Genomic DNA, 26,841 nt, shown 5'->3' on the forward strand with positions numbered 1-26,841 from the left:
TCGGCCTCCCAAAGTGCTGGGATTTAGGTGTGTGAACCACTGCGCCCAGCCCGATTGTATTTTCCTAAATGAAAACTTCAAAAATTTTGCTGGTATATTGCTTTTTAATATGAAAGTGCAATAAAAGTTGTTAAAAATGCAGCCACATGTTGCTACACTTACGGTTTTAGAAAGAGATGAATATGTAGACATAAAACAAAAGCCTTGGGAGGTATTTCTTCTATACTGTACTTAAGACTATGTGGCCACAGAGGGCTGCCAGGTTTTACAGACCTACGGGTTAAATAGCAACTGACTGTTTTACTCAAAAACTCCTTTTGAATTTAGAAAACAATTTAGTCAGATTTTGGAATATTAAGCAAATAAATGTCTACTTCCAATATAAAGTTTAATTACTGACCAGTTAGACTTCTTGATCATCACTCGTAGTCTTGGCATTGTAACTGAGGGACACATTTTCCTTGAAAATGAAATTCAGATTCTTTCAAACTATAAAATAACTTCTGATCACTTTTGGCTAGATAAAAATCCTGAATGAATTTTAAGGAAATATGTAAGAGAATTTCACCTTAAGATCATTATTTTTAAGAAATTAAGTAGATAAAAACCAGTGTGACCTAAAAAGTGTTGAGTAAATAACTTTTCTTCAACATCAACAGCTAATAATAATAATAAATTCAATTTACTGAACACTTATTACAGGAAAGGGGCTGCTTTGCTTTGTTTCACATATGTTGTCTCATTTACTCCTAATAACACTCTGCTAAGTAAATATCATTATCCTCATTTCAAAGGGAGAAACTGAGACTTAGGTTAAGTCAAGATCAAATATCAAATTTAAAAACTCAACATCTACTATGCAATAACAGCCAACGACAAGGCCAATGGTATACATACAAGGTGATTACCATGTTTTGGGGAAGCAGGAAAAAAGAGAACGCTGAGATAAATTTCAAAATTTGATCACTTGCTGAAAGGCATTAAAAAAAAATGAAAGTTTGTGCTGTGTTCATTTATCCCATCTAATTAAGTAGGGCCCTTTAAAGCTTACAAAGCATTATGAGTAAAAGTATTTAACGTATTACAAATAACATGTTGGTATAATTTGTTAATAGACATTGTATGCATTGCTCATAAAATGCACCTTCAGATGGTATAATTTTAGCTCATAACTAATGTATACTTTGGATTACTGTGGTTTTGCATGCTAAAAAATTTAAAAGACATTTTCATTTTCTTTATATGGAAATTTATAAATTTTCCAAAAGATATAGAAAATAAACTTTTAGTATATCTTTGGCATTATTTTTATTAACATCAGTATATTTTGAAAATAAATGATGTATTTCAAAAGATGAACCTGGAAGTAGGAAGGCCTTGATACCAGGGAGGAGGCTGCAGGCTGAGCATGGAGCAGAGTGACTCTGCCAAGCCAATCCCATGTCCCACAATTGAACAACGTTTCACTGTCTCATGTCTTACTGACCCACTCATTTGAGGCTGAACTTTTTTGGTACCTTTACCCACTCATTTGGGAGTTCTGCCAATGCCCAGATAGAAGGATGCTTCAGAGCAAATCGGGGTCTGCCTCACTGAGTCTTGCTTTGTGCCTGCTCTGACAGGTAGCAGGACAACACACCCTGTGTTGACCCTCCAGACTGGGCAGGAACCTCAGTCCAGGTCTGCCATTGACCGGCTGTGACCCTCGTGGGCAACACTAACTGACTCAGAGTCTCTTTAGTCTATTCCAGAGTGGGTTCCTTGAATGCCTTGAAGGAACATCACTTACCTACTAAATTATAATAAAAATGTCCTCAAATTAAATATGTCTTCTTCACTAGTGCTTGAAGATGTCTTTTGACCCCCCCAGAGTTAAACATTGGATGCCAATGATATGCTGAAAATTACTAACTTTTGCTTTTCCAGGAGAACCACCATATCTCATCAGATCTAAGATGTCACCAGTTGACTGCAATTCACATTTTGATTTTTAGAAATAAATGTGAAAAAAATGTAGATCTTAGAAACACTGCAATGTGGTAGAATAGTTGGCAAAATAGCAATTTTCTTGTTGGGGGGTGATGAAATGCTTCAGCTACACTGTGTTCAGATTCTCCTGATGTTATCCTGGGACTTATATCATCTGCTTCTTTATGGATCCACTTAATATTTCATTCAATGAATACAGATTTACTGAAAATATTTTCTCAAAATATTAAAAAAAATCTTGGCGCTTTGGTGAACACACGTAGAAAACCTGCCTCCTTAAAGTTCTTGAAATAAAGAAAGTACATATGAGATAGATTCTTTGCTAAGCACTTCTGAGTTACAATGAGTTATTTCTTGATAACCAATGAACAATAGCGACATTATTAAACGTTTGTTCTGCAAAAGGCAGTAAAAAGGACTATGGGGTAAACTCTTTTGACGTAACTTGGTGACCAGATCCTTAGGTTCTTTTGCATATTAGTGGTCTGAGGAGCATGTTAGGAGACTGACAAAAATAGTCTCAATTAAACGCTATTCTCTTCCTTCAAGAAAAGCTTTCTTGCTCAGCAGTATTACTGGACAGCATGGCTTTGGTGCTTAAAGCCTTCCTGTTCTCACTGGAAAATTGGAGTCAGTGTCTTAGGCACCACCATGCTGCGGCACCCTCACGCCTAATGATCACATCAGACTGTACAGGCTTCAACCACTTTAAACAATTTCCTTTGTCTCCCCTTCCTTTTCTGTAAATTTTTTTGTTGTTTCGTTGTTATGGGTAGTGACAGTTTCTGGTTTCTTTCATTTGCCAACGGTTTCCTTTACCACAGCCTCTATTCCTCCTGCTGGAAGCCTGGCACCATTGGAAGCTGGAATAAAAACCACAACTGAATAGCCTGGCACTTACTTTAACAGTCATTTCCAACCACAGATTAATACTGTTACTGGATTTGACTAACGGCTCTCAATCAGCCCAACTGTCATCACTTGAGAACATGCTAGCCAGTGAAAGCCAAAAAGGAAAATATAAGCAAATTCAAATTATGGTATAATTTTTCTGATTGCTCATCTTTTGAATCCAAGGGTATCTATCTCTCTAAATATCTTCTTCTGGGTTCTCCTTAATAATATGTTTAATGTATATATAGATCAGGAGATAATACACCACCTGGCTGCAACTAGTGGGGAGGCTGAAGTCAGGAGGGAAGGGTTGCCACAGGCACTGGCTAGCACAAGAGAGCACGCCGCTCAGCTGCCCATGGAACGTATATGTATCCTGCACCTTGCTCTGCCCACCTTTGGCAACGGCACTGGAAACAGCTGGTGTTAAGTGTGCTAAGTAGCCAGCATCAAAGTGCAAATGGAAGGGGGCCCTCATGGAGGTTCTGTGTTGATAACAGTGATGTTCAATGCTAGCCTATCATAAACAGGAACCAGGTTTTTCTCTTTATCATTTACTTTGACATAGTAGACTTCAGGTCCAGTGCAGCTGATAGGATTTTTCAATAGATACAAAAGAAGGATGGTATAGCACATTATACGGTATATGACTGGCTTAATGAAAATAAGAGTCTATCCCAACTTGGAGCTTCCCGTATCAACAAAAACTCCATTTTCTATGACTGAAGGCTTTGACAACTCTTACTAATCCCAGCTTTTGGTCCTGACAGAATCTAACCTACAGATACAGGGAAAAGAATTTGGATGACTATTACTTTCTGACTGACGACTTCTGGGTCTACTCTGGGTATTTCACACACATTTAATCCCAATCTTCCTCCTTAAAAATGTATTGAATGACATTCATTTAATACACCCCTGGAGGGAAAATAAAGTAGAAAAATCTTTCTGGAGGGCAATTTGGCTCCACGTATCAAAGGGCTCAGGGTTTTGAATATGCTTTGTATCACTATTCCACTTCCGGGAGTTAGTCCTAAAGGAATAATCATGAGAATGAAAAAAACTTTACTTACACCAATGTGCATCACAGCTTTCCTTAAAGTCTTGCAAATTTCATTCACTCAACCAATATTTACTACATGCCTACTATGTACCAGGGAATATTTAAATACAAATAAATAAGATCCAGATATATTTTTATATAAGAAAAGCAGATTACAAAAAAGCATGATCTAATTTTACAAGAAAATTAAAATGTTATAATGCATAGGAAAAACAGTTGAAAGATAACTATTAAACCATTAGTAATGGTCATCTCTTGGTCACTGGTTTATGGTTTATTTTTCTTTCCTCTTTCTTTTCCTATTTTTATTTTTAAAGTAAGTATCTTGTAAAGAGCCATTTTGACACTACGTAAATCTCTTGATGAAATTTCCACTCAGTAGTTTTAGCATCATCCATTGATGATTTTCTAACTCCATCATTCACTCTGTTATTATTGATTGTCAGTCTACTGTAAGACAAAGCTCTCTTTTCTCCCACTTTATTTATATCAGCATGGACTCATGGATTTTAATTTTATTCAGGAGGTTATAATCCTTTACTATAATTATGTATTTTGATGCCCAAATTGTTTTATATTTGTCCAGTGGCTCCTTCAAGCTAAATTCTGTGCCTTTCTGGTATGTTCCCATATTTTTTGAGCATTTTCTTACTTTCTGGTATAACAAGATACTATAGACTTATACTCTTTACTCGTATTTTAAAAGCTCTACAACAACCATGTATATTTTTGTTAAATGAAAGAACATAATACATACTATTTAAAAAATAATCTTACATAAGATGCATACATTATACAGATTTTTATAAGATTTTTAAAAAACAGTCCAGATTGCTGATCCTACATGGTTCAGGAATATTAGAACAAATGGGCCTTCTGAGCTCCACCTGAGATGGGAGAGGATAGCACCTGTCTTACAAACCAATATGAAAGGAAATTATGTCTAGTGAGATCATTAAATGCATAAGTCATTGCTCTTTACTTGACTAAAACCAGTGAGCCGGCCACACAGCCTTAGATAAGAAAGGTAACAGTTAAAGTACATTCTGTTCGATTAATTAATGTCTCACAGCCAAATGTCTCTGTCTTGCCCCTTAGAAAACTGCATAGAAGAATGGTGAGACACCATCATTTTCATCTGAGTGACTGAGTTTCTTCCTGCTGACTGTTTGGAGTTCCCCTGTGAGCTGGCGTAAGGTACTTCTTCCTGTGGCTCAGAGTAAGACTCTGAGAGCCTTGGGGACTGCCCTCTGGATTCTGTGAGGAACTATGGAAAACAAGGGAAGACCAAGTAGGAGCCCCCAACTCCTCCTTGTGGAGGAGTCAGCTGACCCCACGCCTTGACCCCAGAGCCCTGCATAGTTTCTTTAATCTTATTAGATGGGTTTCCTTAAACTCACTTTCATGCTCAGCCTTTTGCCAGACTCTAGGACCAGCTCTGGCCTTTGTGGTGACTGTGGTGGGATATAGGGGGAGAGATATAAGGAGCACTACAATGATTAGTCATCACTTCACTATTGAGTCATTTGGCCATGCCGCCCAGCCCACTGTGACCTCAGTTCATGCTGTGTACCCCACGCTTGAGGTTCTGTCTAGAATCCCAGTACTCCAGGTCCTTGGACTTTTTTGATTCTGAATTCTTCTAATGTCTTCTGTTACCTCTGAGAAGAAGCCATCCTTTATCCTGTTCTAGAAAAGTGATACACCAAGGTAATTTAACATTATGAACAGGAAGTTCAGTGGCTAAGTTTCACTGAACATGTACAATGCAAAAAGACAAAAGTGAAGTGCTTTATACATACTGTTTAACCTCAGATCAATGCTATGTGGGGGATATATATTAATATCCTCATTTTACAATTGAGGAAACTGAGGTTGAGGGATGGTTAATGATAACTCATCATCATTGAGCTAAGAAGTGATAGAGACAACTAGATGCTCCAAAGCTGGCTCTCATGACCACTTCACTACATCGCATCGTTTGGCTATGACTACGGAACTGCTAGTGGACTTGAGACTCAGGCTGAAAAAAGAATTTTTTTTTTTTTTTTTGAGACAGGGTCTACCTCTGTCACCAAAGCTGGAATACAGTTGTGTGATCACAGCTCAATGCAGCCTTGACCTCCTGAGCTCAGGTGATCCTCCCACTTCAGCCTCCAAGGTAGCTGGGACTATAGGCATGTACCACCACACCTGACTAATTTTTTGTAGAGACAGGGTTTGGCCATGTTGCCCAGGATGGTCTCGAACTCCTGGACTCAAGTGATCTGCTTGCCTTGGCCTCCCAAAGTGTTGGGATTACAGGCTTGAGCCACCACGCCCGGCCAAATCCCGGGTTTTAAAAAATACAAATGAACTAATGGGAATAACACTGGTAAGCCTGATGTTGAGACCAAGTAGTATTCTTCAGTTGGTTCTAAGAAAAGAAAGAGGTGATCCAGAGGAGTCTGTAAGTCCATGAAGAACTTGGAACAGGTTTGCCATTATAGCACGCTTCAGCAGCTCATTCACTCATTCAGCACATTTGGAGTCTGTGATGTGCTTATCACTATGCTGAGTGTAGGGAACACAGAAATAAGACTGACGTGGTCCCTGCCCTTGTGAGGCTTACAGTTTAGGGAGAAAGAAAATCATTAAATAAGTGGTAAGTGTTATGAAGAAAATAAGATATGCTGGTGGAGAATAATAGAAAAAGCCTCTTTAAGGAGGTGACATTTAACCTAAAGGATGAAACAGAGGAGGCAGGCCTGCTGAGGTCTATTCACTTTCTTTTCATCTTTGGTTGTAGCTAGAATTTTTGAGTACTCTTCAAGGGAGCTTTATGACTTGGGTTCTGTTAAACAAGTCAACCACGATTTTTAATCCATGTGCTTTATCACGAATGGTTTCCTTCACCCTGTTCAAAACATCACAAATATGATATAAATGGGACACTTACTATTCAGTCTAAAACTGTTCTCATTTATTTACTTATTAAATACAGAAAAATCCCTTTAGAATCAGGGATAAGAGGAAAGGTCTTTGTGTTTCGCAAAGTTCATCCAAGTGTACTATTTGTTTCTTCCCCATGGAATTGTCATATCAGCTTTAGGAAAGATGATGAAAGAAAAGAAATGGGCCCAGAGGGACCTAAGGAAACCAGGCCAAACTTGCTGTTCACGTGGACCCTTACAGGGAGAATGGAAGGCAAAAGCAGAGAACTGGGTCCAATTTTCTTTCTCAGTGCTATCTGTGCAGTGGTCAGATGTGGCACTCACAACCAAAAGGCTTTTGAAACAGCACTGGTGAGTCCTGACCTACCTTCTTCAAATTTCTGAAAATGATACATTTTATTATCTCATGAGTAGAGATACTGGAGATTACTCTTAAGGCAGGAAGGGGAGACCTAGGGTCCCTTTCTTTGCTATAATTAACTGCATTTTCTCTGGGAGAACAGAAGCTCCCCATGGATATATGGGGTTGGGACAAGTGGCTATTTACAGCTAAGAAGGGAATATTTTTGAGGTTTAGAGAATTCAAATCACGATTACTATCTCATGTTCAAAGACTGAAATAAAAATGGCTGTGTACTCTCTTCATGGAGCAATTTGATGTTCTGAGGCCCTCTACTCCCTGGCTTCTGGAAATCTATTTTTCCCTCCATCACAATATTTCCTTTAACTACTGAATAATTAACCCTAGTGACTAACCTAGTCTCATAGGAAGAAGGCTTGTGAAATCTGCTCCTGATGCATGTAATAAGTGTAGAAGGACACATTAAGTAATGTGTACAGTCTGGGAAGGCCAAAATTCCTTTCCCAAGGCCTGGTCCACCCTGAAAAAGAGGAAGGAAAGCTCATACTTTAATTATTGGAGCAGGTATTCCACTGGTTCACACATTACCAGGACCTTAGAGGTTTCTTCTATCATACAGAAGGAACCTGGATCAGCACACTCGCCTACTCTTCTTTGTCTGCCAGTGGAACTCCACAACAACTGACCGAAGCTGTCACCACCCCAGGCTGCCAATGTGGGCCTCCAGATTGTGAGGCCACAGGGTCAGATATGGGGCCTGGCGCTGCACTGACAGTGCTGCATGTCCAAAGAGGCAAGCAGCCAGGCAGAGCCCTCTCTGTTACAGCTTGGCCACCTGTCTGAGAGGGAAGACAAATCCCATTTCATCGGGTTTGGCATGGAAAGCAAATTGTTCACCCCCACACGCAAAAGCTCTTGAGTGGCAGAAGGAAAAGTACACACCCCAGGTGCGAATATAAAAGCGGGTCTCTTTGGGATGAACCTTCTGGTTAATTTGGTTTGGAGTCTATGGTGTTTTCACTCAGCTCTCATCAGTTTTTAAGCCGTATTACAGCTCCCAGGCTTTTAGGATAATTCTCTTAATGAAGTAATGAAATGCCAAAGAAATGGCATCACAGGGCTTTGCCCTTTCCTGCTTTTTAAAGGCCATCAAAACCATCATTCCCTAACATACCCACACAGGAAAAAAGATGAGGCTTATCTTGTTTTTAAGCTATTGTGTTGCCAGCATTTCCATCGTACAAGAAAGATAAGTAAATGCTTGCAAAATAAAGTCTGACCCAAGCTTCACCTGATATGCAGTTTCTATCTTGCTGAGTGCACATGATAATAAGATTTCCAAGCAGCATTAGAAACCATGGTTCAATCCAGAAGTGTGCTCCTGCAACCCGGGGAGGGGGCTCCTGATGACTTCACAGTGAAGCCACCGTCACAAACAGGATTTCCTAAAGAGGTCTTAGGGTGAGGAAGAAGCTTCATTCTAACTTTGGCTCTGCCATCTGGGCAGCACTGCTGCTCCTCCCCTCCTGTAAACAGGCAGTTAAGAGGGGGCAGGGGCACTCCTTCCTATTGTTCCTCATGGCTCTCACTTCCCTTTCATCTTTGGCAATAGCTGGAATTTATGAGTATGTTGGATGACCTTCCAAGTCTTTCCTTCGGAGTTTATTTACTTCGTGGATACTCCTTAGTAAGGCTCCATCTTTTGGCGGCTCACACCCCGGCTGTATTTGTCCAAAGGTGTGGCTTTATCTCTGTATGGTATTGAATTGAATGGAAAAGGAGTCATAAAGACTGTGTGATTCATATAATCCAACGGTGATTGTGCATACACGACACTATTTCCCAACTTATACCTTCCAGTACAGCCAGGTCTTGCTTTTCTGAGAATGAATGCACTGCTATTTTTGTGGCTTGCCTAATGAAGTTCTTGTTAAATATCCAATCAAACATCTTCAAAATCCAGCTCAGGACTAACTTCAGGAAGCCCCTATTATTCTAGTTCAGGGTAATATCTGACTTTTCTAAGCTCTTAACAGTTTTAAAAATCTGTACCATGTGGCTCAGCACTTACATATGCCTGGTCTGATACTGTTTGCTAATTATTACATGCTAACACATCATGCACATTTTTATTTGCTCATGTAAGTTATAACCTCCTTCAGGCTCAGTCTTCAGGTTTTTGCTATCTTCCACAGTGCCCAGAATGATTGTAAGCACCTGGTAGGTTTTCTTTTTTCTTTTTCTTTTTCTTTTTTTTTTTTGAGATGGAGTCTTGCTGTGTCACCCAGGCCAGAGTGCAGTGGCGCGATCTCGGCTCACTGCAACCTCTCCCTCCCAGGTTCAAGCGATTCTCCTGCCTCAGCCTCCCGAGTAGCTGGGATTACAGGTGCCTGCCATCACATCTGGCAAATTTTTGTGTTTTTAGTAGAGATAGCGTTTCACCATGTTGGCCAGGCTGGTCTTAAACTCCCAATTTCAGGTAATCTGCCCACCTTGGCCTCCCAAAGTGCTAGGATTACAGGCATGAGCCACTGCGCCTGGCCAGCACCTGGTAGGTTTTCAAAGAATATTTGCTCATTCATTAATTGAGAGAAGAATCCCATGGGATTCTTCTGTAAGTTTCATTTCCTTATTATGCAACTGAGTTAAATATATTAAGTGTAAACATTAGAACTACCAAAGGAATAATGCTAGGACCAGTATTGACTTAATATGTTTATACTGTTTTGATTAGTAAAATGACATAAAACCTCTGAATTTAAAATTAAGTGCTTTCTGGGAATATAAAATAAAAAAATGACTAAACTCTACTGAAGAAAAATCTTGAGACTAAGTGACTGAAGAGAAACATGGGAAAACTGTTTTGAAAAAGGCAAGGAGCAAACGATGCATTTGGCCCATTTTATGCCAGAGCTACTCACAGAGTGATGGGCTCTGACCTACAGGCTGCAGTATGTTCATTCATTTATTCATTATTCATTTACTTAGTAGCCACTTTATGCCATGCTCTGTTAGGTACTAGTTATACAGTGGTGAGTAAAATAGAGAGGGTCTGGTTTATAGTTTCATGAGTGATAGGGCAAACAGGTTTTAAGCCAGAAAACACTAAAATAAATATAAGTGCAAACTGTGCTAAGTGCTATGAAGGAAAAAAGTCAAGGTGTTGTGAGAGTGAATACCCGAAGGTACTGATTTTACTCTGGGTCAGGAAAGGTTTCTTTAAGGAAATAACATTTAAGATGAGATTGGAAGAATGACGTGGAGCAGCCAGGAGGTGAGTTGAGGAGGTGAGTGGGCAATGCTCCAGGCAGATGACTCCAGGAATCTCTGCAGGCAGTTTCTTGAAGGGACCGATATAACTGCTGCTTCTGCACAGCAAAGCCAATAAACTTATGGATCCAAATAAGAATACAGGAAATTCATATACTCATTCAACGAATCTTTATTGAATGCTGACTATGTGCTGGATATAGTTCTCTGCCTCTGGGATATCCAAGTAAACAAAGCAAAGATCCTTGCCCTGTGGAGTTTAAGTTCTATAGTAAGAAATAAATGCACCAATATATTTTCATCTAAATATTGCAGGTTTGGCTACAGACCTTGATGTGTGTATAATGAAACTTGAAAGGTCTCAGAGGAAGGAACAGTGGTGTAGTGGACGCAGGGGACAGCTGTTCCCTGTTGGGAGACAATTCTGCATGGGCCCTTTGTATTTCTGCACATCTTGCAAGTAGAGACACTAACTGCATTTGTGCTGGATTAGATTTTCAAGTAAACTGCTTTGGAAGATGATAGTGTCTCCCTCTATAGCATGAGCAGGTTTGTTTGCTCTTAAACATGATAATAGCTTCTGCTGGGGCAAAGGTAAGGCCGACTTAACTGACCATTATAAAAGATTCATGTTGGGGATTCGTTTTTGTAACACAACCCGTGTGTGTGTGTGGGTATGTGTGTGTGTAAGTGTGTTCGTGCGTGCTTGCAGGTGTCATCTGCCCCCCTTCTTATTTTCCTATGGGAATTGGGAATCTGGTGCAAATGCTGATACTGTAGCTACTGCTATTGCTGTGAGTAATAAACTAGGCTTTGTCTCTAACCCAAGAGTCTTGTGTCTTTTGCCAGCATTCATGAAACTGTGGTAGACTAATTTGTTAACCTGCAAATAGGGGAAAAATCTCACATCCTTCGCAGGTCTTGACATGAGTCAAGTGACAAACCAAAAAATGGGGACTTTTTAGTTGAGAAAGACAAAGACCAAAGGGGTAGAGGATAAGGCTGAAGTATATAAAATCAACAAAAGTAAACTTGGTTGTATTCACCAGTCTTGAATATCAAGTGAAGGGATGAATCCCTGATGTTTGAGAGAGGTAAGTTTATGTCAATAGAAAGGAATTTCTTCACATACAGGATACTAACCTTATAGAACTTACCATCTCAATAAATGGTGCTGGCTGAAACTACAAATTATTTTATAAAAGGCCTCACTAAAGTGATGGATGACAAACCTAGAATGCCCAGTTCAATACGTATTGGATGACCGAGTGTTTGCCAAGTGACCATCTATAAGATGATCTCATTATCTGTGTCAGAGAAGAACTACTGGGAAAAATCATTAATTTGACCTAACAAGGACCATTTTTAATCTACAAAGTGAGAAATAGACTCTTCACTGCTTTATCTAGTTTTAGTTTTTACTATGGATACACATACATAAACATATACATTTGGGATATGTAAGTATAAAAATCTCCTTTACAACAAGCTACAATTCATAATCATCTTAATTCATAAATGTTAAATAATAATGGTAAAATATGCTCCTATTTTAGGGCAGTTGTTTCCCAAGCTGGATGTGAAGAACACTTCCAGGAAATTTTAAGAGGCATATCTTGAAAAAAAAAAGTCTCACGGTCAAATATATTTGAGGAGCTATGCACTATATGTATATATCTTTGGAAATTCAAAATTTACATTAATAATGAGGGCTGTGATAAGCCCTGAGTCACAGAAACCTTTAAGCTCGTGTTTCCCAAATTTTTAGTATTGACCGATCATTTCACAGCATGCCCATTATTATCTCATGAAACACTATTCCATGAAACAGCAGATTGAGAAATGCGTTTGTCAATTGTTAAAAAATGAAGATTTTTATGGCAAGGACTGCTATAATGCCAACATTATCTATAAAGCCTCACTAATTTGAAGTTAAAAACACCAGTGAAGTGGGGACAGAAGGGCCTAACAGGTGACTGGATGTCCTGGTTTGCTTCTCTCATACAGGTGGTTGGGCCATCTTCACCTGGGGGGATCCTTGGGATTAATTGTTTCTTGTGTCCAAGGAGCCCGAATGCCCCAATTTCATGAATATTTTCATGTTTAAGGCAAGGATAACAATCATAGTTATAGCTAACATTTATTGCTTCCAATTGATGTGCTACAATGCCATTTTGAGCACTTTATATTCTAAAATTCTCACAATAAACCATGAGAGAGGTAGTTTTATTATCCATGTTCACAGAAAAGGAAACTGAGGCACGGGTGGTTCTGTCACTTGGCCAAGGCTATACAGCTAGTAAGTGGAAGAGCTAGGATTTAAACCCAGACAGTCTGGCTCCAACATCAACTCCTGTGCTTAACTACCTTTGGAATTACAGCATATGTCAGCAAACTTCCACATTACCAGTGTAATTCATACCACAAAGCAATTCACTTTACCTTCTAGTTGGGTTGAGCCTAGGTAAGTAGCCTTCAGAGCTTAGGAACCATAAATAACAACCAGACCTTGTGCTAACACATCTTGAAAAGCTTGTCTAAGCTTTACAATTGTACCAGAAGAAGTAAAATACAAATAGGACAGCATGTACCATTGCCAAAACAATCTCCCCTTTGTATAGTTTTTTCTTCTCACCAATTTGTTACTATATGCAATACTGACTTTAAGTAAACAAACAAGAAGCTACAAACAATACACCCACCCTCTTTTAATTACAGCACTACAACAAGGCCACTTTGTTAAAATGGTTCATCTCTAAAATATTTTTCTTACCAAAAATGATACACAGATACATACACACTCATGTTTCCCCCTAAAACCCCAATCCTTTTTGTATGTTGTGAGTGGAGTGCAGAGAATAAAGCTCCTACTGAGTGCTTTTGGCCTTCAGATTTGGTGCTCATTACTGTGTAGACATTCTCAGCCAGAGCGCGACAACAGGCATTCAGAACTGTGTTTTCTGCAATGTTTATTGTTTATTCCACGATCTTTTGTTGTTTTTTTTTGTTGTTGCTGTTATTTTACATGTTGGCATATTAATTTCTATTGCTGTTGTAACAAATTACCACCAATTTAGTGGCTTAAAAAAACAACACTCATGTATCATCTCACAGCTCTGTAGGTCAAAAGTCCAAGTATGGCATGGCTCAGCTGGTTCTCTGTTAGAGTTGTACAAAGCTGACATCAAGGTGTCGGCAGAGCTGTGTTCCATTCTGGAAGTTCTGGGGCTAAATCTGCTTCCAATCTCATACGTGATTGTTGGCTGAATTCAGTCTGATGTGGTTGTAAGACTGAGGTCCCTGTCTCCTTGCCAGTTGACAGCTGGGGGCTGCCCATTGTTCCTAGAGGTCTCTCTCTGGTTCCTAATGTGGCTGCTACGTCTCAGAGCCAGCAAAGCATGTTTGATCCTTCTCATACTTGGAGTCTCTCTCTCACATCTCTTTTGCTTCTAGCCTGAGAAAATTCTCTCTCTTTTTTTTTTTTTAGACGGAGTCTCGCTCTGTTGCCAGGCTGGAGTGCAATGGTGCAATCTCGGCTCACTGCAACCTCTGCCTCCCAGGTTCAAGTGATTCTCCTGCCTCAGCCTCCCGAGTAGCTGGGACTACAGGCATGCGCCACCACACCCAGCCAATTTTTGTATTTTTAGTAGAGATGGGGTTTTACCATGTTGGCCAGGCTGGTCTCGATCTCCTGACTTCAGGGGATCCTCCTGCCACGGCCTCCCAAAGTGTTGGGATTACAGGCGTAAGCCACGGTGCGAGGCTAGTTCTGTTTTTAAAGGACTCATGTGATTAGGTTGGGCCCCCTCAGATAATCCAGAATAATCTCCCTATGGTAAGGTTCATAACCTTAATTACATCCGCAAAATCCCTTCTGCTATGTAATGTAACAAATTCATAGTGTTTAGGGTGTAGATATATTAGGGGACCATTCTGGGTACCACTTCAGGTGAACATTTCTGTGCCAAGATGGCTAACAGGGGTGAATGATAATGCTAAATCTGCCCCAAAACAACAAACAACAACAACAACAAAACCAAAAGAAGAATTTCACTGACATTAAATTCTAAATTTTACCCATTTCCAGAAGCCTTTAAGGTCCAAGAAACAGGATAAAGATCAGAAGTGAGTTAGGGACTAGGAGTAGAAGGTCTTTGATATTATAAGGAGCATAATGAATTGCTCTAGACCAGCATTTGTGCAAGTGGTAGCTGGAAGAAACCACTGCCAGAAACAGAGTGACTTCAGGGGGCTTAAAGAGAATACAGGAATAACAGCAAATGTCTACTCCCAGGAATGCATTTCTATAACCTGAAATAATACTAAAAAACTTTTTTTTTTTTTTTTGACATGGAAGAACACTGGTGTCAGCTGTTAACTCTCTAGTGGTGGAATCTTAGGGAGGCCCTGGGATCTTGGAGAGGGGCAGGGGCATCCAGGGAGCTGGGGCACTCCAAGGAGGGGCTCTTTACCAATGGGTCTGGAAGCACATCAATATTTTAACAATGGGTAAGGGATGCAGTAATATTTATAACACTGAATATTGGAAATGTAATCCAATAACATGAATGAGAGTCAACACGCTCACTTATAGGGAGGAACACTACAGCACAAATACTTTTGAATTTCAACATTTCATAACGTATTGATAGATTGTTATTTATTAAGCAGTTCCACAAATACTGAACATTTTGATTAATTTCACTTTTTGTATTAATATAGATCATCTTCAAGTAGAGAAATGCATGTTAAGAAAATTGGGAAAAATGCAAGACATGATATCAGAAGGAACACATCACCCACCTGAGAGTTTAACCCTATTTGCCTTTGCATCACTTTCTCAATTCTCCTAAAGTGTCAATTTTGTTATTTGCTGTCTGCCTTAAGGGGACTGTAATTTAGCTACTCCATTTTACGTCTTTATAATTCTTTCTTATCTCATTCATCTCCCTTTCCATTTCATCTTTGGTTTTTCACTTTGAATAGCCTTTCATATATTTATTTTTTAGGTCTTTAGAGACCATTTCTTTCTAGTCAAAGGTAGGGTAAAATGAAACATAATTTTAGTCATACTTAATTAGACTTTTAAATCTGATGGTACACTCTGCCTGAAGCTTTTCAGGGGGGAATTTCTGAGGTCCAATTACAGGGCTAGTCTCATAATAAGAACTAATAATTCATAATGAAATTATTTGCTTTTAAACCTCATCCAGACGCTGTTGTGAAAAATATACTAACCCAACCACATTCCTATAGGGTCATTAACACGGCCAGTACAAACAGGTGAGGTCTGCTGAAGTCATAGTTCTCAGAGCTTCTGTGAAGAGCTGGATGTTGGTTCTGTGACAGTATCACTACAGGGCAACCCTTTCATACCAGTCCTTTCATAGTATGGCATCCTGTTCTTGATGTATGGATTTTGATATCCTTCTCAGCTCAGGTAAATGCCCAATGGGTATTTAACAAATATACAAATAGAAACTGAATCCTTGCATCACTAAACTTTGTGTTGCCTTCACACATTAAGACAACTTAGCTGAAAATAAAGTTCTTGGGTTATAGACTTAGCCCCCAACAAAGTTGTAGAATTTTCCCTATTCTCCTCTGGCTTTGGTTCAACAAGAGAGAAGTCTGAGGCCAGCTTGATTTTCTTTCCTTTGTGTATAGCTTTAATAGAAACGTATTTTATCCTTGTAGGTTCTTTTCTTTCTCCCTGCAATTCAAACATTTTTCCAAATGTGCTCCACGTCAATCTTTGGAGTGAATTCCATGGATTGTCTCCCCTTTCACCTTGTAGCACAACACTGATGTTCTTCAATCTACCATCTATCTGATAAGCAAATTCCTTTGTTCCGGTCTCAGTCACTGGTTCCACTGCAGGCCCACATCACAAGCAGCCCTAAGAATGCATCTCAGGGCTCCTGTTTGAAATCCTGACACAGAAGAACGTACTCTTTATCTGAGTATCCTGCAGGGCAGATGTGAAACCTGGAACTACTGTAACCGCTTTGCCAATGAATGAAAACAGCCTTTGAAGATGCCAAGACATAGAAAAGGGAATGTTAGAGAAATGGAGCTGCAGCTTCTGGATTAAGCCAACCCTGATGCTCACCTATCTCTGGAATCACCGTTTATGTGAGTCAACAAGTTTTTTATTCTTTAGTGGATCCAGAATGAGTTTTCTGTATTCACAGCCCTGAGCATCTCAAGTACTAATGTCTCTTTTTAATGATTTTCCCCCAAATATTACAGGATCTTTTAATTTGTGTACTCAAGTTTTTCCTCAGTTTAGGAACATGTTTCTTTAATTATGGCTTTTATTACTGCATTTTAAGACCATCAATTTCCTTTCTCTTTTCGTATTTAGAGACAGGGTCTCACCGTGTTGTCCAGGCTGGTTTCAAACTCCTGGGCTTAAGCAATCCCCCTGCCTTGACCTCCAAAATGCTGGGATCACAGGTGTAAGCCACTGCACCCGGCCTCAAGATCATCAATTTCTTAGGCCAGATTTCTATTCTTTATCCTTCATGTTTGTCAGTTTCTCACCATTTTATAAATCTTTTTTCCTTTTTTCTCAGTATTTTGTGAGAACTTCCAATATCATCCTTTATGTCAATGGTTCCATTTCCTACAGTATTAATTCTATGTTTTACTGCTTCCTATCAGATTTTAACTGTGCTATATACTCAGTTTCCTTACAATTCCACTTATCATTGGTCTCTCCATCTCAGATTGCTGTTTTCACATTTTAGAGTGTTCAATTCTTGTGGCTTTTTTTTTTTCTGTTTTAGAGAGTATGTCTTCTAGCATTCTTCTCAGTCTACTGACTTTTAGAAATTTTCTTCTGATTTAGCTAATCACTTTCAGAATTTTTTTCTTTGGTTTTTTGAGTCTTTTGGGAAGTGTTACTTTACCCTATCTAGTAGTATTTTTTCAAAAGTTACAATCATTTTTTCTTTTAGATAGTTGTTTTTCATTTTCTAAGAGGAGCAATCTAACCAGACAATTTGTAGTCAATGCAATGTAGACATTACTTTGAACTTATTCTGTAAATATTTAATGGTCTCTGAGTAGCTTAGATGTTTATATCTACCATGTTTCTTCTAATATTACTCTTATGTCTCTGTCCCCACTTACTAAATATCCCATTCTTCTCACCTCCAGACCCCTAGTTCCTTTTTGCATGTATGTGTTTTCTGGTATTTGAAGCGTCTTACCCGAGAGAGCAAAAGATGTAATACTGTGGAGTAGGTAAGACAACAGCACTATGGAGCTCTCAACAGGAAAGGTAGTGGGAAGAGCTGGCCATTTTCTGAACCGAAGTCAACCTTGTGTTTCTGAAACAAGGGGACTTGAGGGAGGGGAATAAAGATCTACCTATTTCCAGGTGCACATAACAAACCTGTGTCACCAAATGGATATATATATGTATATTTTTCTGAGACAGAAAAAAGCCTGTCACCCAGGCTGGGTTGCAATGGCACAATCATGGCTCACTGCAGCCTCAATCTCCCAGGCTCAAGCTATTCTCCTACCTCAGCCTCCCAAGGTGGGACTACAGGCACGTGCCACCATGCCTGGATCATTTTTTTTTTTTTTTTTGTAGAGACAGAGTCTCCCTATGTTGCCTAGGCTTGTCTCAAACTCCTGGACTCAAGTGATCTGTCCACCTTGGTCTCTCAAAGTGCTGGGATTATAGGTGTGAGCCATTGCACCTGGCCACCAAATGGATTTTTCAATTCAGTTCTGGCTAAATGAAAATTCTTCCTATAATTTTGATAATTATTTCACTGCCAGTCTTAGTTTTTTAATGCTGGATGTTTTGAGGGGCCAGTAGGTATCACTTTAAACTAAAAGCTCCCAATATTTTAAATAAATTTTGATTGAGGGTTTACAGAGGTAAATGCAAAAATAAGCTGTTAATATGCAATCTGTAAAAAAGGTACTAGGTTAGAGAAAAAAATGAAACATGTCTAAGTTCAGTGCTGTTTTTAATCAGGGCTGTATGCCACCTAACAGAGTGCCTTTGAAAACAAGTTTATTGCATGCTGATGCCTAGAGAATTCAATATGACTCTGATAAGCAAAACAGATAAAGCAATTGGCTTCCAAATTACTTCTGAATATTGAAATATTAGCATGTCAAATTATTACAATTAAATGGTTGGGCAACACAGTGCAAACACATTTGGCACGCTCTTGTTGCCCAACTTTCAAAGTATTGGATCTCCTCCCAAGTTTTAGACTGGGAATGTCCAGCAAACTCTGTGCCAGTGATAAGAGAAGAGCTGGTAGTATCCAGTTCAGTTCATGGTAAAATCTAATCTCCACTAGAAATCTGCCATCTTGAATTGTCCCTTGCAATGTTTCAATTAGCAAGTAAGTACAATCCATATGTCTGCAGCTGTCTGTCACACCTTTCTTTTTCCTGTTATAAAAGTGCATGTATGTGCATTTGCACATACACACACGCTCCTAAGCAGCCAACAACTCTTAAACAATCCTATCTATGAGTACATTCTAATACCTGTAAATTTAATTTGGCAAGCAAAACTGGAGCAATAAATCACAAACCCAATTCTATCATGTATTTCCAGAGAAGGTTAAAGGCGAAAGACCATGCGGAATGCTCTATATTTCCTATGGTTAAAGTGGGAGGGAGAGAAGGACAAAGGGAGAGAGGGAAAGAGAAGGAAGAGAAGGAGGAGAACAGGAGCGTGGAGGGAGGGAAGAAGAGAAAGAAGATGAAGGGAGGGGATAAAAGAAGCTAGGTAATATCTTTTATTTCTGTAAGAATATACCCAATGTTTCTCAGTTAAACCAAGTGCTGGGTCTTATCAGACACCAGCTCCTTCAGCCACCATAGGAACACCAGATGGGAGGTAGATGCTCAGCGCAAAACAAAAGAGCAAGGGTATCAGACAGCCACAGACCACTCCACAGCAAGGGCCCGTATGGAGTTACTTGGTTTGTCACTACCCCCTATCATTTTAGTACAAGACCTAGTAGAATCTTTTGACACATCTTACTATTTGTTGTAATTTAGCGCCTTGGTTGTGTTTGGTGGGAAATTATGTAGGCATACAATAAAATCTCAGCAATCTACATTTACCTGAAGTTATTTACTATATTTATTATTGTCTAGTAAATTTGCATAAACACAATAAAACAAATGTAAATGTTACACCACACTTTAAAGGAGTTACCAAGGCCAGACTCAACTCAGATTGGAGGTCCAAGCCCCAGCTAGAATAATTTTGTGCAGGTGTGGTTCTTTTTATTTTGTAGGGCTATGAAGTACCTCCTGCTCATGAGAAAAATGAGATGGTAAGTTTGCCACTGACTAAAGATTAGACTGGTAAGAACTGACTTTCCATCCAGGACACAATTTTCCTTTAGAGTTGGCCATAAAACTTTCATTCCAGAGGTGCCCACCCTACACCTGGAGGATAGGAGCATTCTTATCTCTGAAGACCCGGGGACACAGAATGCACCTGAACAAGCAGGCCTTGCCAGGTTTCCCCCAGTTTATTACCATTAGATCATACCCTTGGTCTTCCGGCCACACTTCTGCATGACTGTCCATAAAAATGCACAGTTGTCTCTGTTTCTTTGGGTCTTCATTTCTGAAGGCTCCCATGTCACATAAAACATATTAAATAAATGTGTATGTTTTTCTCTTAAAAAAAAAAAGAATTGGCTTTCAATGTATAAAATAGTGACTGTCTCTGTGTTTTATAATCAAAAGTGGGTGGCTTCTGGACCTCAAGCTGAATATTTTCATCTGACTCAATGGCTGAAAGATGTGACCAGGTAGACCTGAGACTTTATGACCAGGTAGACTTGAAACTACTAGTTTGATTATTTTCCTATTGTAAGCAGCTGATGGAAAAGCTTCTAGAGTTATTCCAAGGAGTAGACCTAGAAGGCATCCAAAGTAATGATGCATGAGCACTGGTGACTAAGAAGGAAAAATGACATGAAGCACCTAAATTCTGCCTGGAAGGAATATCATAACTCAATATACATTATTCTTCAAGCCTAGGCACTTCTGAAATTCTGTAGAATAATCTTTGAACTGCCTGTGCACTGGAAAAAAACTGGTCTGAAAAACTGCTTGGGATGTGATCTGAGATAATTTTTTTTTAACTGACAAAATGAGGTTGATTCCTTCCCTATCACTACCCAACTGATAAAAAGGAAACCCACAGTGAATTTTACAGTTGAAAGATGTCTCTTATGCATCAAACCAAACTTAACAAAAGTTTTATAAAATTACCATATTCACTTATGTTTTCCACTTAATATTTTTGACACAGTCTCACTCTGTTGCCTAGCCTGGAATGCAGTCGTGTAATCATAGCTCACTGCAGTCTCCATCTCCCAGGCTCAAGTGATCCTCCTGCTTCAGCCTCTGAGTAGCTGGGAGTACAGGAGCACATCACTATGCCCAGATGATTTTTTTAAATTTTATTTTTCGTACAGACAGGGTCTCACCATGTTGCCCAGACTGGTCTCGAACTCCTGAGCTCAAGTGATTCTCCTGTTTTGGCCTTCCAAAGTGCTGGGATTACAGATGTAAGGCACCATGGCCAACCTCCACTTGATATTGTTTTAATGTAGTGGTAGAAAAGGTAGCAAGGCTTACATAAGAGTTCTTTTCTTGCTTTACTCTTGACAACCTTTCTTCATCTTTGAGAATCTCAATCCTACCTCCCACCTCAAGCTAAAAACAGAGTTTAGTTGAAACTTTTTGCAGGGTAATTTGGTTTAGCTAGCACAATTTAAAAAATTTGCATGTCATTTGACCCTGTAATTTCACTTCTGGAATTTACTGTACAGAAATACCTGGACGAATGCTCCATAAAATAAGCACAAAGATTTTACTGCAACACTGTTTGCAGTAAATATTGTTTGTATTTTTTGACCAAAAAACCCCTAAATGTCCATCAAGAAGAAATTAAATTATGAAATAAATGAACTGACAGTTATTAATCTGTTTAAAAATGAGTTAAATCTCTAGGTACTGACATATTATGATAAAATAAAGCGAATAAGCAATGTACAGAAGAGTATCGGGTAAGCCCATTTCTGTGAGAAAAATTTACATATGTACATGTGTACCTATGTATTTTAGCATTTATAAACTCTCTCTCTTTCTCTCTCTCTCTCTCTCTCTCTCTCATTTGTAACAAGGAAGATCTGGAAGTATATCGAGGGGACTATCTTTGGGAGTTTTGGAGAAGTACAGGAAAGACAATGTTCACATTTTATACTTCTGTATTAACATTAGGTGTTTTTACAACCAGACTATGTTATTTTACTTTTTCGTTTAAATTTTTTTAAAATTAAATAAAACTAACAGGCATGGAAATCTCCTACTTTGATCCTTCGTACAGCAATTTTTGTTTCTTAAAGTGTCACGTGGAGTGAAAGATCACAGAGACAATGAGGCTCCCCAGGTGCAAGCATTTTTTAAAGTAAGGACATATTGAGGATGATCCACTAGTGTCGATAAACACTTTATACTTGCAAGTTTGAGCTCAAGCACCATTAATTCAGGAGAAGAAGGCCAGGCAGCTGCATCAATATCAGCTTGGCTGGTTTTACATGCAAGGGCCCCAACATCTATAGCCCCTACACAACCAGAAAAGAAGACAATGTGGGACACAGAAGAATGAGACTTCAATGAGAAGGGCACTGACTTATTTTCTCCCCTCTTCCCAATAAATGGCAAGTTGTCTCTGTTTCTTCTTTAATTTATCCTTTTATTTGATGACTTAGACCTGCATTGTCCAATCAGTACATGTGGCTACTGAGCACTTGAAATGTGCTGAAAAAAGTCTGAACTGAGATGTGCTGTAAGTGTAAAATACACATTGGAGTTTGAACAGTTAGTAAAAAGAAAGAATGTAAAAATATCTCATTCATCCATATATTTATATTCATTACATGTTGAAATGATAACATTTTGGATGTACTGTGGTAAAAAAAATATATTATTAAAAGTAATTCGACTTGTTTCTTTCTACCTCTTAAAATGCAGCTACTAGAAAATTCAAAAATACATTTGTGGCTCTCATTACATTTCTCCCAGACAGAGCTGGTTTATACTTTTATAGATATTCCACATGGCAATGCAAATGTTCAGAAAAAGGAATAGCAGGGTAGAGAAGTAGGCATGACACACACACACACACACACACACACACCACACACACACACACTTTTGAATTCATAATAAGGAAGAAGTGGAAGTATATCCAGGGGGATATCTTTGGGAGTTTGGAGGGGAGTACAGGAAAGACAATACTCACATTTTATACTTCCATATTAACATTAGTCATATTAGACATAGTAAGAGTTTCAGAAATGACCAAGATATGGCTTTCTCAAAGAATATCAGAGTTGGAGTGAATCTTGGACATCATCCATTCCAGTGTTTTAGGGTCTTTTTAAATCTCAGAAGCCCAATATAGAAAAAAGATGAAAGCAAGATACTCTGATTAAAGCTGAGTGTGGGAACAAGAAGGGCCGAGAAATCTCTGGACTATGCATAGGAAGGGAATCTAAGAACTCTGAAGCACAGTTTGAATTCCATGGATGTGGTATTTCAGCCTCTCCATTTTATAGGTAAAGACGCTAAGTTCCAGAGGTTGATGGTTTGCCTTCAGTGGCAAAGCTGGTAGGGGTAGGGCTGGAACCCATTCTTAGATGTCTGGTTCCTAAGAAACAACACCGTGCTCTGCATGACATCATTGCTGCACCTATGGTGGACAACTTGTGTGCATGGAAAGATAGTGGCTCAGGAAAGTGCTCTGACATAGGTACAGACACAATGCTATGGGGCTACTGTAAGCACAGTACAGTGCTTCAGGCCTCTTCGTTAAAGAAGCAGCTTCTAGATTTACCTTTGAAAGATGACAGAGGCAGCTGGGCACCCAGGACAAGAGAAGAGCAAGGGTTCTAAGGAGAAAAACTTTGAGGCATGTTTTGGGGCCAAAAGGTAGGTCTCTTTCACTAATAGTGACATCTTGGAGAATAATATATGCAATGGCCAGAATAGAGTTGGAGCCTTCTTTCAAAAGGTCTTGAGAGCCAAGGATCCTACACCAGTCTTAGCAAGATTTTGAAAAACAGTGATAATAAGAATATTAATTTATCATAAATACATGAATGGGCAGGAAACAGGGAGACAGATTGGCAGGTTACTGGGTGACTGTTAAAGGCAGCCTCAATTAATGAGATGCAGGTCATGATGGAAATGGGCCAGATTGGAGGGGCCCCATGGAGACAGAATCCACAGGACTTGGATACAGAAGGATGAAGATGATTCCAGGGTGACTCTGAGGACCCAGCTGGGGGGCTGCGGGATGAGGGTTCCATTAACAGAAAAAGGGAAGGTAAGAGAAGCTGGTTAGATGGGTTCAGTGAAGAAAGGGTATCTGTGAGGTGGTTGGTGGAAGAGTCAGTCCATTAAGAAACTGCAGTTTGGCCCTGGAGCCCATCTGAGGGTCATCTATATCTTATCTAGATAGAATTCTTTGTAAACACCTAGGTTTGGGAGAAGGGAGATGAAGAGCCAGCAAAGGGGATATGGGCAGAGGCACCCAGAAGTGTGCTTTTTACCAACAGTGAGGACAGGGAGGCTTTCACGGAGTGAGTGGCCACAAGATTCAAATGCTGCAGACATCAAATGAAATGAGAATGGAGAGGAGGCTCCTGGATGCAATGATGAGGAGGTCACCATCAACCTCTAATATAGCAGCTTAAGTGTCAGGAGGACTCTGAAGTCAAATAATCCTGGTTCAAAGCCTCTTCTTGGGCCTCAGTTTTCTTACCTGTCAAATAGGGATGACAACAGTGCCCCTTATAAAGTTATTCTGAGATTAAAATGAAATTGTGTATTTTAAAGCACCAAATATAGCTGACCCTCGAACAACATGGGGGTTAAAGGTGCTGACCCCCTGTGCAGTCAAAAGTCCATGTATAACTTTTGACTCCCCTAAGACTTAACTACTAATGGCCGAGTATTGACTGGAAACCTTACCAATAGCAAACAGCTGATTAACACATATTTGGTATGTTGTATGTATTATACCCTGTATTCTTATAATAAAGTAAGCAGAGAAAGGAAATGTTATTAAGAAAATCATGAGAATGAGAAAATATATTTACTATTCATTAAGAGGAAGTGGATCATCATAAGGGTTTTCATCTTTCTCATCTTCACATTGAATAGGCTGAGGGTAAAGGGGAAGAAGAGGGGTGAGTCTTGTTGTCTCATGGGTGGCAGAGTTGGAAGAGCTGGAGGTGGTGGAAAGGGAGATAGGAGAGTCAGGCACACTTGCTGTAACTTTTACTGAAAATAATCTGTATATAAGTGGACCTGTGTAGTTCAAACCTATGTTGTTCAAGGGTCAACTGTACAGAGCGTGGCTCACAGTAAGTGTGCAATAAATGTTATCTATTATTTTTATGATGGGAAGGGATGAAGAAATGAGCAAGTGAAGAAGAAGTGGAGGCTACATGTAGAGACACTATTCTTTCAAGAAGTCTGGGCATGAAGGGAAGGAGAAAGACTAGGGGAATACAAAGGGGAATGAGAATCTTTTCCAGAATGGAGAGACAAGGGCATGATTTGACTCTTACGAGGCAAGTCAGAAAGGGATGATGGATGAAGTGAGAACCTAGAAGCAGGGTAGGAACAAGAGCAAGGGTTGAGGGAGATTTGCCTTGTAAGCAGGGAGAATGCATCCTTCTCAGAAACTGGAGGGAAGGAAGGAGAAGGTGAAGATAAAGAGAAATTTTTGAACTGAAAGAGAAAAGGAACTCACTTCGAGGGCTTCACTCATCTTAATTAACTGGAGATGGGGCTGAATGTTGGGTTGGGGGTGTGGAAGTAGGTTGGGGCTTAAGGATCGTGGGGATGGGAAGAGAAGTGAATCCTAGCATGGAAGTGGGTCTCAGACCAAAGGAGGGGAGCTGGAGGGGAGGAAACATGCCCACCAAAAGCCTAGATGCAAGTGTTAAACAAGCACGTGTGCTCTAGTTGCTCTTATTTCTGTCTCTAAGTAGAGCTTTCTTTTCAGTGGTGGAACATTTGGATGATGAAGTCCCTAATGTACAATGTCATGAGAAGGGAGAAGAAAACATTAATTCTCACGGGGGTCACTAAATGCTTGTGTATAGGCTGGGGGACAGGGAGAGTGCAAGCTGAGTGATGCAGCTGCTGAGTCAATCAAGACCCTCAAACTGCTCTGTCTCCACGTATTTGCAAAACACTTCTGTCAGTAACATTTACTCTTACTCTGTAGTGACTCTTTGCTGGAAAATCATGGGTCCTGAAAATCTCCAGGTCATGCCATTAGGACTGGGGAGACAGGAGTGTAAGAGGATTGCAAAGAGAAGTTGGGAGGCTTTGGCGGAACTGTGCCCCCAAGAAGCAGATAGCTAAAAACACTGCAATTCCCTTCTTGAGGGGATAGAGCACCTACAGAAAAAGGCCGGGTTTTAGTTACCTTGAAGAAGATTGTGAGTAAAAGTTTGGGGAAGAAAGGAACTTCTTCCTATGTGACAAGGATTCCAAGAGTCAGATTTGAAAGGAGTAACAGAAGTAGAGAGTCAGCGAGGGGAGGTATTGGGGGCTAAGAACAGGGATGGGAACATGGGAAGAAGTAATAAACCAGCAGTTGTTAGTAAGAGGGAAGCAATGGCTTGGGAAGTAAGAGGGAAGAAAGAATGGTAGAGTGGTATATGATATGTGATAGAATGGTTAGAAGAAGACTAAGCAGATAAAATCTGGTTTGTGGTAAAGATCACAGAACAGGCAGACCTAGGATATGAGAATGGAGGTGCCCTGGAGTGGGAAGGTGGAGGACCAAGAGATGCCGCCACAGGGAAAGGCCAGGTCTGGTGGTGGCTTCTCAATATATGTCATGAAAACAAATATATTTTTCAAATTCATGTTAAAGTACACATCAAGAATTTAAAAAATCAGGCCAGGCACGGTGCCTCATGCCTGTAATCTTAGTACTTTGGGAGGCCAAGGTGAACTCCTGAGCTCAGGATTTCGAGACCAGCCTAGGCAACAACAGCGAAACCCCGTATCTACTAAAATACAAAAAATTAGCTGGGCGTGGCGGCATGTGCCTGTAGTCCCAGCTACTCAGGAGGCTGAGGCAGGAGAATTGCTTGAACCCAGGAGGCGGAGGTTGCAGTGAGCCGAGATTGCACCACTGCACTCCAGCCTGGGCAACAGAGCGAGACTCTGTCTCCAAAAAAAAAAAAGAATTTAAAAAATCAATATTAATAACATTACCAAAGTATTAA

General features: G+C 39.7%; 1 protein-coding gene and 1 long non-coding RNA gene across 4 annotated transcripts in view, besides 2 other annotated features; both read right to left on the minus strand.

Annotated features, from left to right (window-relative positions):
• Positions 1 to 26,841, minus strand: part of CDK6 (cyclin dependent kinase 6) — a 231,653-nt gene that overhangs the window by 31,994 nt on the left and 172,818 nt on the right. The window lies entirely within an intron of this gene.
• LOC112268009 (uncharacterized) lies at positions 1,292 to 25,756 on the minus strand. The gene is made up of 2 exons (XR_002956577.2): positions 5,347 to 25,756; positions 1,292 to 5,213 (listed from the first exon to the last, which is right to left on the minus strand). It is a non-coding gene; the product is annotated as an uncharacterized LOC112268009 (long non-coding RNA).
• Positions 5,177 to 5,226: an enhancer, noted in NCBI's record as "active region_26267". NCBI's record gives its function as "activates an Ori minimal core promoter by ATAC-STARR-seq in GM12878 lymphoblastoid cells {active_cell/tissue: GM12878}" and the evidence as "EXISTENCE:reporter gene assay evidence [ECO:0000049][PMID:35858748]".
• Positions 11,526 to 11,575: an enhancer, noted in NCBI's record as "active region_26268". NCBI's record gives its function as "activates an Ori minimal core promoter by ATAC-STARR-seq in GM12878 lymphoblastoid cells {active_cell/tissue: GM12878}" and the evidence as "EXISTENCE:reporter gene assay evidence [ECO:0000049][PMID:35858748]".

The sequence above is a fragment of the Homo sapiens genome, chromosome 7, assembly GCF_000001405.40.
Source record: "Homo sapiens chromosome 7, GRCh38.p14 Primary Assembly".
Taxonomy (NCBI): domain Eukaryota; kingdom Metazoa; phylum Chordata; class Mammalia; order Primates; family Hominidae; genus Homo; species Homo sapiens.